Genomic DNA, 14942 nt, shown 5'->3' on the forward strand with positions numbered 1-14942 from the left:
CTGCTGTTGCTTTAAAGTTTGTTTTGTCTGATACAAAAATAACTACCCTTACTTGCTTCTGGTGGCTATTTGTATGAAATTCCTTTTTCCACTCCTTATACTTTAAGTTTGTGTGAGTTCTTACATGCTAGGTGAGTCTCCTGAAGGCAGCAGATAGTTGGTTGGTGAGTTCTTATCCATTCTGTGGTTCTGTATCTTATAAATGGAGCATTTAGGCCATTTACATTCCATGTTAGTATTGAGATGTGAGGATCCATTGCATTCATGCTGTTTGCTGTTTTTTTGTTTGTTTTTTGTTTTTGCTTTTTAACTTGTATTTTTGTTTTGTAGGTCCTATGTGATCTATGCTTTAAAAATGTTCTGTTTTGATGTGTTTTTGGGATTTGTTTCAAGATTTAGAGCTCCTTTTACCAGTTCTTGGTAAAAGAGCTGAGACTTTCCAGAGCATTTTGCATTTCTAAAAGTGTGTCCAAAGTTTCCTGAATTTTTGTTTTTTCTTTAAACTATCTATTTTCTTGAATATTTCTACCTTAACTTCTTGTATCATATTTTGGATTTCATTGCATTGGGGTTCGCCTTCCTCTGGTCCCTCCCTGATTAGCTTATTGACTAACGTCCTGAATTCTTTTTGAGGTAAATCAGGGATTTCTTCTTGGTTTGGATCCCTTGCTGCTGAACTAGTGTGATTTGGTTGGGGGGGCGAGGTTGAAGAGCCTTGTTTCTTCATATTACTAGGGTTGGTTTTCTGGTTCCTTCTCATTTGGGTAGGCTCTGTCAGAGGGAGGTTCTAAGGCTGAAGGCTGTTGTTCAGATTCTTTTGTCCCATGGGGTGTTCCCTTGATGTAGTGCTCTCCCCCTTTTCTATGGATGTGGTTTCCTGTGAGCCGATCTGCAGTGATTGTCTTCTCTCTTCTGGGTCTAGCCACTCAGTGAGTCTACCCGGCTCCAGGCTGGTAGTGGTGTTGCCTGTACAGGGTCCTGTGATGTGAACCATTTATGGGTCTCAGCTGTGAATACCAGTGCCTGTTCCAGTGGAGGTGGCCAGGGAGCAGGGGTGCAACAGGACTCCTTGAAGGTTCCTAGCTTTGGTGGTTTAATGCTCTATTTTTGTGCTGGTTGGCCTCCTGCCGGGAGGTTATGCTCTCCAGAGAGCACCAGCTGTGGTGGTATCAGGAGGAACCAGGGTGGGCAGGGCCCTAGAACTCCCAGGATTATATGCCCTTTGTTTTCTGCTACCAGGGTAGGTAGGGAAGGACCATCAGGTCAGGGCGGGGCTAGGTGTATTGAGCTCAGACTCTCCTTGGGCAAGTCTTGCTGTGGCTACTGTTGGGGATGGGGGTGAGATTCCCAGGTCCCTGGAGTTGTTTACCTATGAGGATCATGGCTCCCTCTGCTGAGTCATGCAGGTTATCAGGGAAGTGGGGGAAAGCCAGCAGTCACAAGCCTCACCCAGCTCCCACGCAAACCAAAGGGCCCCTGTCTCACTCCCACTGTGCCCCCACAACAACTCCCAGTCTGTTTCTAGGTGGAGAGTGATGTGGGCTTGAAAACCTGCCCCAGGCTACCCACCTCCCAGCTGTGAAAGAAAAGGGTTTGACTCTTCCCCCACCTGTGGAGTCTGCACACCGGATTTGCACCCTCCCCCAAGTTCTGGCCAGGAAGCTTCTCACCCCATTTAGATTGCTAGAAGGTTCAGCTAGCGTTTTCCTTCTCCCTGTGGAATTTTACCCCCTGCTCCTCTCCCATTGAATCCCTGTGGTGCCAGGCAGGAATGGCCTGCTTGGCGACCCAGCGAGCTCACAGGGCCTTTCTACTGCTTCCCCTACCACTGTATTTCGCTCGGCTCTCCAAATTGACTCAGCTCCAGAAAAAGTCAGAAACTTCTCCCACAAACAGACCTTCAGCTTCACCAGTTGGGGTGTATGTTGGGGAGAGGAGGGTCTCCCTTTTCCACTTCCACAGTTGGGGGTCACCTGGGTCCTGCAGGAGCAGTCTGCTTCCCTCAGAGGGTCTGTGGGTCCTCTCGGGGTTGCTGGCCAAACCCGGATTCTTGACTTCTGTGCACTGGCAGGCTCAACACCACGTGGAAGCTGCCAAGGCTCGGTGCTTGCATCCTCTGAAGCCACAGCCTGAGCTCTATGTTGAACTCTTTCAGCCATGCCTGGAGTGGCTGGGATGCAGGGCACCAGGTCCATAGGCTGCACACAGCACCAGGGACCCTGGGCCTGGCCCAGGAAACCACTTTTTCTTTCTAGGCCTCTGGGCCTGTGATGGGAGGAGCTGCTGTAAAGACCCCTGACATGGTCTGGAGACATTTTCCCTGTTGTCTTGGTGATTAATATTCAGCTCCTTGTTACTTATGCAAATTTCTACAGCTGGCTTGGATTTCTCCTCAGAAAACAGGATTTTCTTTTCTATCACATTGTCAGGCTAAAAATTTTTTGAACTTTTATGCTCTGCTTCCCACATAAAACTGAATGCCTTTAACAGCACCCAAGTCACATCTTGAATGCTTTGCTGCTTGGAAATTTCTTCCGCCAGATACCCTAAATCATCTCTCTCATGTTCAAAGTTCCACAAATCCGGGGCAAAATGCGGCCAGTCTCTTTGCTAAAACATAACAAGAATCACCTTTGCTCTAGTTCCCAACAAGTTCCTCATTTGCATCTGAGACCATATCAGCCTGGACTTTACTGTACATATCACTGTCAACATTTTGGACAAAGCCTTTCAACAAGTCTCTAGGAAGTTCCAAAGTTTCTCACATTTTCCTGTCTTCTGAGCCCTCCAAACTGTTCCAACCTGTGCCTGTTACCCAATTCCGAAGTTGCTTCCACATTTTTGGGTATCTTTTCAGCAACACCCCACTCTACAGGTATCAATTTACTGTATTAGTGCATTTTCCGACTGCTAATAAAGACGTATCCGAGACTGGGAAGAAAAAGAGGTTTATTGGAGTCACAGTTCTGTGTGGCTAAGGAGGCCTCACAGTCAGGGCGGAACGTGAAAGGCACTTCTTACATGGTGGTGGCAAGAGAGAATAAGAAATCAAAGCAGAAACCCCTTATAAAACCATCAAATCTTGTGAGTCTTATTCACTACCATGAGAACAGTATGGGGGAAACCACCTCAATGATTCAATTATCTCCCACCAGGTTCCTCCCACAACATGTAGGAATTATGTGAGTACAATTCAAGATGAGATTTGGGTGAGGACTCAGAGGCAAACAATATCAGTCACTTCCAAAATTGTATGCAAATTCAAAGAATAGCTAAGGAAATCTGAAAGAAGAAGAATACTGAGGCATTTACACCACAAAATACGAAAACTTATTATAATGCTATAGTATATACCCCAGTACAATATTGGTGCAGGGATAGACAAATTTACTAGCAGGAAATACTAGAAAATTTAAAAGCAGACCCACCATTTATTAAGTGACCTGATTTACAAGATGGTATTGCAATAATATGAGAAAAACATTTTTCAATAAATCTGGGGCTTGCAGGATATCCACATTGGAATACATATATATATTGACCTCTTATACCTTATACACAAAAGTCAATGCCAAATGAACTAGAGCTCTAAATCTGAAAGATGCAATTATAAAGCTAAAAATATTTCATGAGTTTTGAATGGTAGATATTTATTAAACCGAACCCCCAAAATAAAAAAAAAAACATAAAAATATAAACGATATTACATATTGAACTACATTAATATTAAAGGCTTTTATTCATTAAAAGAAACCAGTAAGAACAGCAAAAGGCAACACACAGGTTGGAAGACTATATTTGCAGTACAGTTATTTTAAAAAGGATTTATATTCAGAATATTTAAAGAACTCCCACAAACCAACAAGAAGACAGATGAAGATGACACGGTAGAAAAAATGGACCCAAAGTCTTATGTGAGTATTTGAGAAGTGAGAATGGCCAAATAGTCAATAGACATATGAAAAGGAACTTAATCTTTAAAATGCATTAAAACTTGAAGATTAGAAGGATTGATAGATATGTTATTTAAAAATGTATACTAGAATAGTATCATATTTATGTGGTACATATAATATTTATGTGGAACATATAAGGTTGTCATTGTAAAATTCTTTATTCTTTTTTTGGTTCCAAAATTGTTATCATGAATATATTGGAATAATATTTAGAACAGAATGAATTTTCAATATGCACATAAAAAAATGACTAAACTGAAAACAAAATAAAATGTCAATTTTCGAAGAGGATATGGGGCAAGTAGAGCTCTCATACACCACTAGTGAGTGTGAAAATTGGTATAACTACTTTGGGAAACTATTTGGCAATATCTATTAAATCTTAATACACACATTCCCAGTCAGATGTGGTGGCTCATGCCTGTAATCCCAGCACTTTGGGAAGCCAAGGCAGGTGGATCACTTGAGGTCAGGAGTGCAAGGCCAGCCTGGCCAACATGGTGAAACCCTGTCTCTACAAAAAATAGAAAAAATCAGCGAGGCATGGTGGCACATGCCTGTAATCCCAGCTACTTGAGAGGTTGAGGCAGGAGAATTATTCCTGGGATGTGGAGGTTGCAGTGAGCTGAGAACTTGTGCCACTGCACTCCAGCCTGGGTGACAGAGTGAAAGAGACTCCATCTCAAACAAGCAAACAAACAATAGCTACAACCTGGCTATTCTACCTCTAGATATATGCACAGTAGAAATGTGTATACATCTTTACAAAGAAACGTGGACATAACTGCCAATCAGCAGTAAAATATATAAATAAATGGTTGTCTAGGCATAAAAATACTATAAAGCAAAGAAACTGAAAAAAAATCTGTTTTTATACAGCACTATAGATGAATGCCACAAATATTGTTGAACAAAAGAAACTGGAAACCAAAGAGCACATACAGTGTGATTCCACGTATGTAAAATTCAAAACAGGCAAAATTAATCTATAGTCTTTGAGGTCACGATAAAGGTGACTGGAAGGGGCCAGAAATCAGGCTTTTAAAATGCTGGTAAAACACTCTGGGAGACCGAGATGGGCAGATCACTTGAGGTCAGGAGTTCGAGACCAGCCTTCAACATGGTGAAACCCTGTCTCTACTAAAAATACAAAAATTATCTGGGTATGGTGACGGGTTCCTGTAATCCCAGCTACTTGGGAGGCTGAGGCAAGAGAATTGCTTGAACCCGGGAGGCGGAGGTTTCAATGAGCCAAGATCGCACCACTGCACTCCAGCATGGGCAACAAGAGTGGAACTGTCTCAAAATAAATAAATAAAAATAAAAATAAATGCTGGTGATATGCTGTTTTGACATAGATGATAGCTACATGGGTCTGTTCCATTTGAGAAAAATTTATCGATCTGTACATTTAGCCATATACTTTGTTCTGTTCCCTGGGAGAAACTCCCTTTTGAATTGTGTCTGTGTTTTCTGGTTATGCTTTTGAGAAAATATTTTTCTCATCCATAAACACAGCTGAAGTGGTCCTTGGAGAGTTATTCTTGTCAGTTGAACAGGTTACATTGCCTATTGGTGCAGTTTTGGAGGCCCACAGACAGCTTTAGAGTTGGAAAGACTTACTCATTGCAGATATATGATTTATTTGTAAATAACATTTTCTTTAAAAGCTTGGTAGGCTTTGGTCAGTTTCATGTTTGACTTGAGAAACTACAGCCATTGACTTCATATAGAGAGATACCACATCATAGGAGGCAGAGAATACACACACACCTCTCTGTGCTTGGGCCCAGTTATGAAACATTATTTGGTTTTTTGTTCGTTTGTTTGTTTTGAGACAGAGTCTTGCTCTGTCGCCCAGGCTGGAGTACAGTGGTGTGATCTCGGCTCACTGCAACCTCTGCCTCCTGGGTTCAAGAGATCCTCCTGCCTCAGCCTCCTGAGTCGCTGGGACTACAGGTGTCTACCACCACTCCTGGTTAATTTTTTTGTACTTTTTATAGAGATAGAGTTTCGCCGTATTGGCCAGGCTGGTCTCAAACTCATGACTTCAAGTGATCCACCTGCCTCAGCCCCCAAAGTGCTGGGATTACAGGCATGAATCACTGCGCCTGGCCAAAAGATCACTTCTTATTGTTGCATTGACCAGAACTAGTGATATCATCGGGACTCAGATATGGAGGGAAATTCAAGGAATAATTGGTGAGTATTATTGTCTGTGTAATGACTGCCCAAATCTCGGAATCTACTTTTAATTTTAGAACTCATGAGGTTTTCTTGGTGGTTGCTTTTTTTCTCTTCAAGAAAATTCATAAATATTTTCTGCTCATGCATTCCATTCTCTCATGGGATGAGATAAAGTTTGAAACCTTTTAACCTGTTCCTTGAATTTCTTAACAAGTCTTTCATAATTTTTAATTATTTTGTTTCTTGTAGGTAAATAAGGATAAATTATCAGTAACATATGTCTATGTATATTCCAGTTTATTAGTCACTTTTTATCTAGTCTAGTGTTTAGCCTAGCCTGATTCCAACTTATATATATATATATGTGTGTGTGTGTGTGTGTGTGTGTGTTCGTGTGTGTGTGTGTGCGCGCGCAAAGTCATGTGCCACAAAACCACATACATGTGATGATGGTCCCGTAAGATTATAATCGAGCTGAAAAATTCCTCTTGCCTGTGACGTTGTAGCTATCATAACATCATAGCACAATGCATTACTCCTGTATTTGTGGTGATGCTGATGTAAACAAACCTACTGCGCTGCTAGTCATATAAAAGTATAGTGCATATTATTATGTACAGTACATAATACTTGAACATTATAAATGACTGTGTTACTGGTTTATGTATTTACTATACTACCCTCTTCATCATTATTTCTACTTATAAAAAAGTTTACTGTAAAACAGTGTATCATGTTATGTGGACAGATGCCTTGCATCTCATGTTTATTGTGTCTCTTGATTACATCATTTTATCTTGCATCGATTTAATTTTGTGTTGTTTTATTCATTATGACCCCAACCATATAAAATCCATACCTAATATTCTCAGTAAGAGGCCATGTGGAGTGACCAACCTGGAAACAAAGTCAAAAGTGATTAAGGATTATTTAGGTGGGAAATTAATGATGATTATTGCACACCAGTCAGGCGTGTCCCATTCCACCATAGCTATGATCTTGAATGACAAGAACAAAGTAATAGGAGTTGTTAAAGTATCTGCTCATTGAAAGCAGCAAAACTAACAAGAATTGGAGAAGGGCCTGTATCAGATACGGAGAAACTTGCAGTGATCTAGCATGAAGACCAGACACAGAAGTCTAGCCTTCTCAGCACCATGACAGTTATGACTAAAGCAAAAAGATTGTTTGCTATGTTGAAAGCAAAGGTTTGACCTGTCTATGATGCTGAATTTACTGCTAGCTCTGGGTTGTTTAAATGATTCAAGAATTGATGTTCATTACATGATGGAAAAGTGATGGTAAGTCTATGAATGCTGATGTGAAGACAGCTGAAGAATTTTTAGAAACTCTAGATAAGCTGATTGTGGAGGAAAATTACTTGTCATAGAAAATCTCCAATATGGATGAAACGTCTCTATTCTGGAAACAGATGCCTGGAAGGACTTTCATCCAAAATGAGGTCAAGTCAATGCTAAGTTTCAAGACTTTTAAGGACAGAACAACAGTCTTGCTTAGGGGCAGTGTTATGGGCTACATATTGAATTCATTTGTGATCTGGCACAGAAAACACCTCAGGGTCTTCAAGTATGTCAGTAAGAACACACTGCCAATGTGTTACAAGAACAATAAGAACTCATCGATGACCCACCTTCTCTTTCAAGATGCCCTTCTGAGTTGCTGCTATGCCAGTGAAATGGAGAGATACTGTTTGAAGAATAACATACTTTTAAATTTTTTGCTTATTATTGATAATGCTCCTGCATATCCTCCTTTTATTGGTGATCTTCATTTCAATAACAAAATCATGTGTCTCTCTCCAGACAACTCTCTGATCCAACCAATGGATCATGGATTACAGCAGCTTTTAAGGCCTGCAATTTAGGAGGATCTTTGTCCATGCTATTGCTACAACCAAGGAATACACCGAGAAAACACTGTTTCAATTCTGGAAGGATGACTGCATGAAGAACCTTGCTTGGGCTTGAGATAATGTCAGCAAAGAAGGTATGAATGGCATAGGGAAGAAGACAATCGAGTTTGTCCGTGATTTCAGAAGACATACCGAGAATGTATATGATGCAAACATCAACAAGGTTGTGGTTGAGATGGCAAACAACTTTAATGTGGACGTGGATGAGGATGACATTGAGGACCTCTTATAGGTGGTTCCTGAGAAATTGCTTAAGGATGAGTGGAATAGGAATGCATAGATGAACAAGAAACAAAAGCAAAGGAAAGTGCAGGAAAAGAAAAAGGAGAACCCCCAGAAAATTCACAAGTGTTTAGTAGAAGCTTTTGCAGACCTCAACAAGCTTCCTAAAAATTTGGAAACATGGACCCCCAACACCAAAAGGTTTTCATTAATAGAGAAGAATGTTCATGGTGTATTATCTACTTACAAGCAAATCTGTGATGAATAGAAGAAACAAACCAAGCAAACCACCATGGACAATTTCTGAAAAGTGTGACACCTCCTCTGGAAGAGCCTCAGGCAGGTTCTTCAGAAAGTATTCCAGAAGGCATTGCCATCATACGAAATGGCAGTTTCATGCCTGCTTTTGCCCCTGAAGACCTTTCAGTGGGACAGGATAAGGAGGTGGAAGACAGTGATATTGATGATCTTGAATCTGTGCAGACTTAAGCTAATCTTGTTTTTTTTTCTTAGTTTTTCACAAAAAATTAAAAAAATAAAAAATAATAAAGGTTGTAGAATAAAGATGTAAAGAAAAAAGTATTTTTGAACAGCTATCCCATGTTTGTATTTTAAGTAATATTTTTATAAAAGGGCCAACATTTAAAAAATTAAAAGTCTGTAAATCAAAAAATGTTACAGTAAGCTAAAGTTAATTTATTATTGGAGAAAGAAAAAAATTAAAATAAATTTAGTGTAGCCTAAGTGTACAGAGTTTATAAAGTCTATAGTACCTTACAGGAATGTCTTAGGCCTTCACATTCACTCACCACGCAGTCACTGACTCACTCAGAGCAACTTGCAGCTCTGCAAGCTCCCTTCATGGTAATTGACCTATACAGGTGTGCTACTTTTTATCTTTTATACTGTTTTTTGTTGTTGTTGTTGTACCATTTCTATGTTTAGGCACAAAAATATTTACTGTTGTGTTACAATAGCCCAGAGTATTAAAGCTTCTAGTGTTTGCCTGTAATCCTGGGCATCCCCTGGTTTATAGGTGCATCGCTCTACTTTGATCTGCCATCTTTACATGTCCATCTTTCCTCCGTGTATATCTGTGTCTTCACACAGGCTTCTTATAGGGACACCAATCATTGAATTTGAGGAGTAACCTAATTCATTATGATCTTATCTTACAGTAAGACCACGTACCTATTTTTAGCCTGGGTGCAATAAGCTGTACCATGTAGCCTATGTGTGAAGTAGGCTTTATCATCCAGGTTTGTGTAAGTATACTCTTATGATGTTTGCACAATGATGAAATCACCTATCAATGCATTTCTCAGAATGTATCCCCGTTGTTAAGCAATGCATGACAGTGACAGTATATATACATTTCTAGTATTTTTTGCTATCCTCTCCTTTTTGCCTTTTTTACTCTGTCCTCCGCCTTTATTTTATTCTTCTCATCAATGAGGTTTTCCTTTCATTTATAACATTAACATCTTAAATACACTTGTGAATCCTTTTAGACTACATAGGGATGTAATTTTCATTTATGCTTACTTTATGTTTCTGATGTTGGTTTTATCTGCTTACTTTCCTCACCTGGATTTCTTCAGCCTGTTTGATTCCTTATTGCCAAACTAAGTTTGCAGACTGCACAGCACTTTCTTTGTTTACTTGTTTTTTAACTTCATTTCTTCTGTTAAAGTGGGCAATGAAATGGTGTAAAAAGTCTGGATTCAAGCAGTAAGCCTGGTCCCTGTCTTCAGTCTCACATTAATGATTTTTAGTTCTTTGCCCTGCCGTAAGAGTTAAAACCACCAGCCACAAGTCTCAGCAAGCCTGTGGCATCAGGTCTCCATCACGTTGCATTGGTGTTACTTTTCTTCTAAGGAGCTCTTATGTTGTTTTTATCCTGGCTATGTAATTTTGATTTTTGAGTTCTACTACATTTTATCATTTTCCTATCTTGGGAAGGAAGGGCCATCAAAGCAAGGAATTATGATATCACCTTAATGGGAAATTCAACATAACAAAAAGCAAGACTCTTCACTTACCTATTGGTTAGAGGGCCTTTTACATGCCTGTTAGGTTTTGCAAATTTTTCATTTATCCATTCAAGTTGAATAGTGTAAGCCATCTGTTTAAATTTTTAGAAACTTCTGCCCTTAATTCTTAAAAAAGTTACCACAAAATTAAAACAGCTATTTTCCCAAATATTATTATAGTATTTCAGGAAAAATTGTTATGAAAACATAGTTTGGTGTTATTGTAATAAAAATAGTATGATCTTTAGAAATATATTTTATTAGAATTCACTGTTAAGGACTCTATACATGCTAATACATCTTTAACAAAGTGTTTGTACAAACATCAATTGGAATTTCATGCCAATTATATTTTTATTTTATGTATTTTATACTACTTTTCAGGTAAACATACATATGCACATATATATCTATATATCTGTGTATATACAAACACACACACACACACACACACACACACACATACTGTTTATCAAGGCTGTTCATGCTATATAGTGATCTTGCCATGTGTCTATTAGCAAACCAAATTTCTTCTTATGACAAGTATAACCCATTTTCTTATTTATTTGCAAGCAAATCTTGGTAGGTGCTAACACCTGACCATAGTGGATAAAGTCAAGAAGCAAGCTATACTTTTCTTCTGGCTTTTCAGGTTTACATTTAGGAAGAAGAGAGGTTGTTATTGAATCATAAATGTATCTTTATGTATTCTCATTCCTAGGCTGAGTCGTCTGTTCAGAGATTCACTCTCTGTTTAGAAATGCAGTCTTCATTTAATGTCCTCAAAATATGCTCTTTTGCAGCCTCTTCCTTCTGTATAAAACTAAATGTGTCATTTGTCCCTGAGCAGATGTTAACAAGTATAAACAGAAAGTCGAATGCAGCTACATATATAGAGAAAACAGCAAAATAAAAAGGGAGAGGTGCTAACTAAAATTAAAGTGCAATTTAGTGACTTTATGTAAAATTTTTTTCTAGATGCATTGCAAAATTCTAAATATCTGTGAGTATGTTGATTGACAATGTGAATGATGTAACAGACATTTTCAGCACATCTTGGCCTATCAGAATATATGAATTTGGCAATTCCTTCCTTTGATTATGGAAAGTATAATATAAGGGAATGAAGTAGTCCTCATTGGTGAACTAGTTAACGCTGCTATTTAGTGCCAGAGAGTTATCAAGGCAAAATATTTTATCCCTCATTGCGTAATTTTAAATCTTAAATATTTTAAAACCTAAAAATGAAAAAAGAAAATATTGATTTTATAATATTTGCTTCAGTTTTAAGAAATCAATGTTGTTGAAGTTGTCTGTTTTGTTGCAAATATTACTGAACATGGAAAACACCTATTAAAACTGTGATGCATAGTTGAAAGTTAACCCTTAACTGAGACAATGTCTGGTAATGAAAGGCAACATTTACATATGTTGTCTCATTATCCAAACTATTTGAAAAATATTAAAGCAGTGAACTCTACCTATATAATTACTTTCTAGTATTTGCAGTGTGACTTAAATATTATTATGAGGAACCATGCTAAGGATCAGAAATAGATTTTCATTGAAATGGGGAAAACATAGCGAATAGAAGAAATATGTCTTAGCGTAAACAATGGAGGATAGTTTTACGACCTCAGCAATACCTTCCTGCCCCGATTTCCTTATTCCAGCTACCACTTGTCTGACCTGGGAGTCAAAATTATCATTCAAAATTGTAAAAGATGCTTTTATTCTCAGTGCTTACCCATTCATAAATTACTTAAATAATATATATGACTAATACATCTTTGTGTATATATGCAAGAAATATAATTTGTAGATAATTTCAGTAACCCATTATGACTAGTTAAAAGTATAACCCAATCAGGAATTCTTATATATCATATATATTTTGTTATGTATTAGTATCCTAGGGCTGTCGTGACAAATAATCACAGACTGATTGGCTTAAAATAACAGGAATTTGGCCGGGCGCGGTGGCTCACGGCTGTAATCCCAGCACTTTGGGAGGCCGAGACGGGCGGATCACGAGGTCAGGAGATCGAGACCATCCTGGCTAACACGGTGAAACCCCGTCTCTACTAAAAATACAAAAATTAGCCGGGCATGGTGGCGCGCGCCTGTAGTCCCAGCTACACGGGAGGCTGAGGCAGGAGAATGGCGTGAACCCGGGAGGCGGAGCTTGCAGTGAGTTGAGATCGCGCCACTGCACTCCAGCCTGGGCGACAGAGCGAAACTCCATCTCAAAAAAAAAAACAAAAACAAACAAACAAAAAAAAAACAGGAATTTATTGCCTCACAGTTCTAGAGGCCAAGAGTCTGAAACGAAGGTATTGGCAAGACCAAGCTCCCTTTGAAGGTTTAGGAAAAAAATTTTTCTTGCCCCTTTTAAGCTTCTAGTGTTTGCCTGTAATCCTTGGCATCCCTTGGTTTATAGGTGTATCACTCTACCTTCTGCCTCCATCTTTACATGTCCATCTTCCCCCTATGTATATCTGTGTCTTCATACAGCCTTCTTATAAGGACATCAGTCATTGGACTTGGGGAGTTCCCTAATTCATTATTATCTTAATTACATATGCAAAGACTTTATTTCAAAATAAGATAATATATTTTTACCAGTTCTAGGGGGAACATGAAGTTTTGGGAAAAACTACTACAAGTCAGCATATTAATTTTTATAATGATATAAAATTTCTACTTTTGATTTAAAGCAGAGCCATGTGACAATCAAATATGTAGACTAATTCAATATGAAGTCATTAATTTTGATCAGTGTGTGTCCCTTTCTTCAAGGTTAACACCTGACATCTGGGTGAACTCATTCTCATCAAGAAGTATTTGGAGATCTAAGTAGATTTAAATACATAGCACTAGTAAAAAATATGTGATAGTTATATATTGGTAAAACAATTAACTGTTTTGTTTTCTGTTTTTAGTATTTTATTTATAAGCAGTAGTCCTGTTGCATGGAGGGTGCTGTCTTTAGTGAAATCTGAGGAATACTGTTAAATACAACACAGAGAAGAATAAAAACATAGGGATTTTGGAAATCTGCACACTTTTTTTTTCCAATTTCAGGAAATAATCTTAATTCACACTTTAGATGTGACCTCTAACAGCCTTATATAGATCTTGGAAAGTTTGTGAAGTGATGAAAACATGTAATGATTTTCTGTGAATTTCTGTTGATCTTACAGGTGCTCCCTACTGGGAGGCTTTGATTTATTCTGTACTGTGAACCATGGGAAAGTAAAGTATTACACAGGCCGTTTCCTTTTAAGGTTGAAATGGGAATTATTATTAATTACCCTGGGACAATAGGTATAAAGAGGACACTTGAGCCTCCTAGCTATTTAGAAACCTACTGATCTTTTTATTGCTAATTTGAATAATTGTTTCTCTCACATGCCTCATCACAGAATAAAGTAATGATCAGACATGACTTCTCTTAGTCATGGTTAATGTTTCATAGCCATTGAACTAGTGAGAAGAAAGGTACTAAGGCAGTGGGATGACTATGCAAAATGGTATTACCTGTTTTGTGAAATCCCATAGAGGGAAGAAACTACATATGTAATTTGGAAGAAAATGTAAAAGCTACTGTCTTTAATTTAAAATTCACATATAATGAATTAAACATTATTCTTGCATACATATCTTTTTTCCCAATTGCATGGATTACTGAAAATAAAATTAAGTGGTACTGAAAATCATCAGAATATCATTGAAAATACTCTGACACCCATGGATAGGGAGGGCCAATTATATAGGAAATACTAAAGGCAACAGAGGGAGCTTTTGAGGAACAGAGAATACGGCTGTGACAGCAAGCATGGAAAGAGACGTTTGATTTTGGAAATCCCTTATTATCTACAGAGTGTTACTGAATAAGAAGATTCACATGGATTGTTTTTGCCACAGAAATAGGTTCTGGCATGTGCCAATGCGATTAAGCACCCTATTCATCTCTGTCAGTCATGGCCCTTCAAAGACTGTTTTCAAAGAATTGCTTGTTATGAGGAGGAGGACAGGAGGAAACATTTGAAGAACAAATGATTAATGGCATCGTTACTGAGTCTTGTAGTTCTTATGCAAAACCTACAGTGTTTGTATGAAAACATGGGAACAACTGGAATATCCATGGATTTCCTCATTCTGAATCTTTGACCTGAAAATACATTAACCTAACAAGCCACATATTGAAACTAAACTTGATTTCATGGCTAGATAGGAAGTGGTGATCAGTGTTGGTTCTATCTACACATTTTGCTGGGAATAGAAAAGAGCTAATATTATTTCTATTGTATAAATTATGACATTTGGTCTTTGGGGGCAACCTGTTAATAGAGACTAAAATTCATGGAGAATGAGGCATTCAGTAATATACAATAGTTTTTATTAACTTATGAGACTCTCATTAGCCAACAGATTTTGAAGCTCTATGCCATGGGTACCTTAAATTAACATGGATAAATGAAAAAAAATCTTATGTTGGACTATATGTATAAAATAACCTGATTTTTGTAACAACAATACCTACAAAGTTTTGGGGACTATACATGTATGTATAATATACATACAATCAAAGAAATATATTTTGTCATT

At 38.1% G+C, this 14942-nt stretch overlaps 1 protein-coding gene across 14 annotated transcripts in view, besides 1 other annotated feature; it reads left to right on the top strand.

The window, feature by feature from the left end:
* The window catches only part of EPHA6 (EPH receptor A6), a 946939-nt gene that overhangs the window by 71855 nt on the left and 860142 nt on the right, over positions 1-14942 (top strand). The window lies entirely within an intron of this gene.
* Positions 1050-2249: an enhancer, noted in NCBI's record as "MED14-independent group 3 enhancer chr3:96606342-96607541 (GRCh37/hg19 assembly coordinates)". NCBI's record gives its function as "activates an origin of replication core promoter dependent on BRD2, BRD4, P300/CBP and CDK7 cofactors, and independent of MED14, by STARR-seq in HCT116 cells {active_cell/tissue: HCT116}" and the evidence as "EXISTENCE:reporter gene assay evidence [ECO:0000049][PMID:35650434]".

Source organism: Homo sapiens, chromosome 3 (assembly GCF_000001405.40).
Source record: "Homo sapiens chromosome 3, GRCh38.p14 Primary Assembly".
Taxonomy (NCBI): Eukaryota; Metazoa; Chordata; class Mammalia; order Primates; family Hominidae; genus Homo; species Homo sapiens.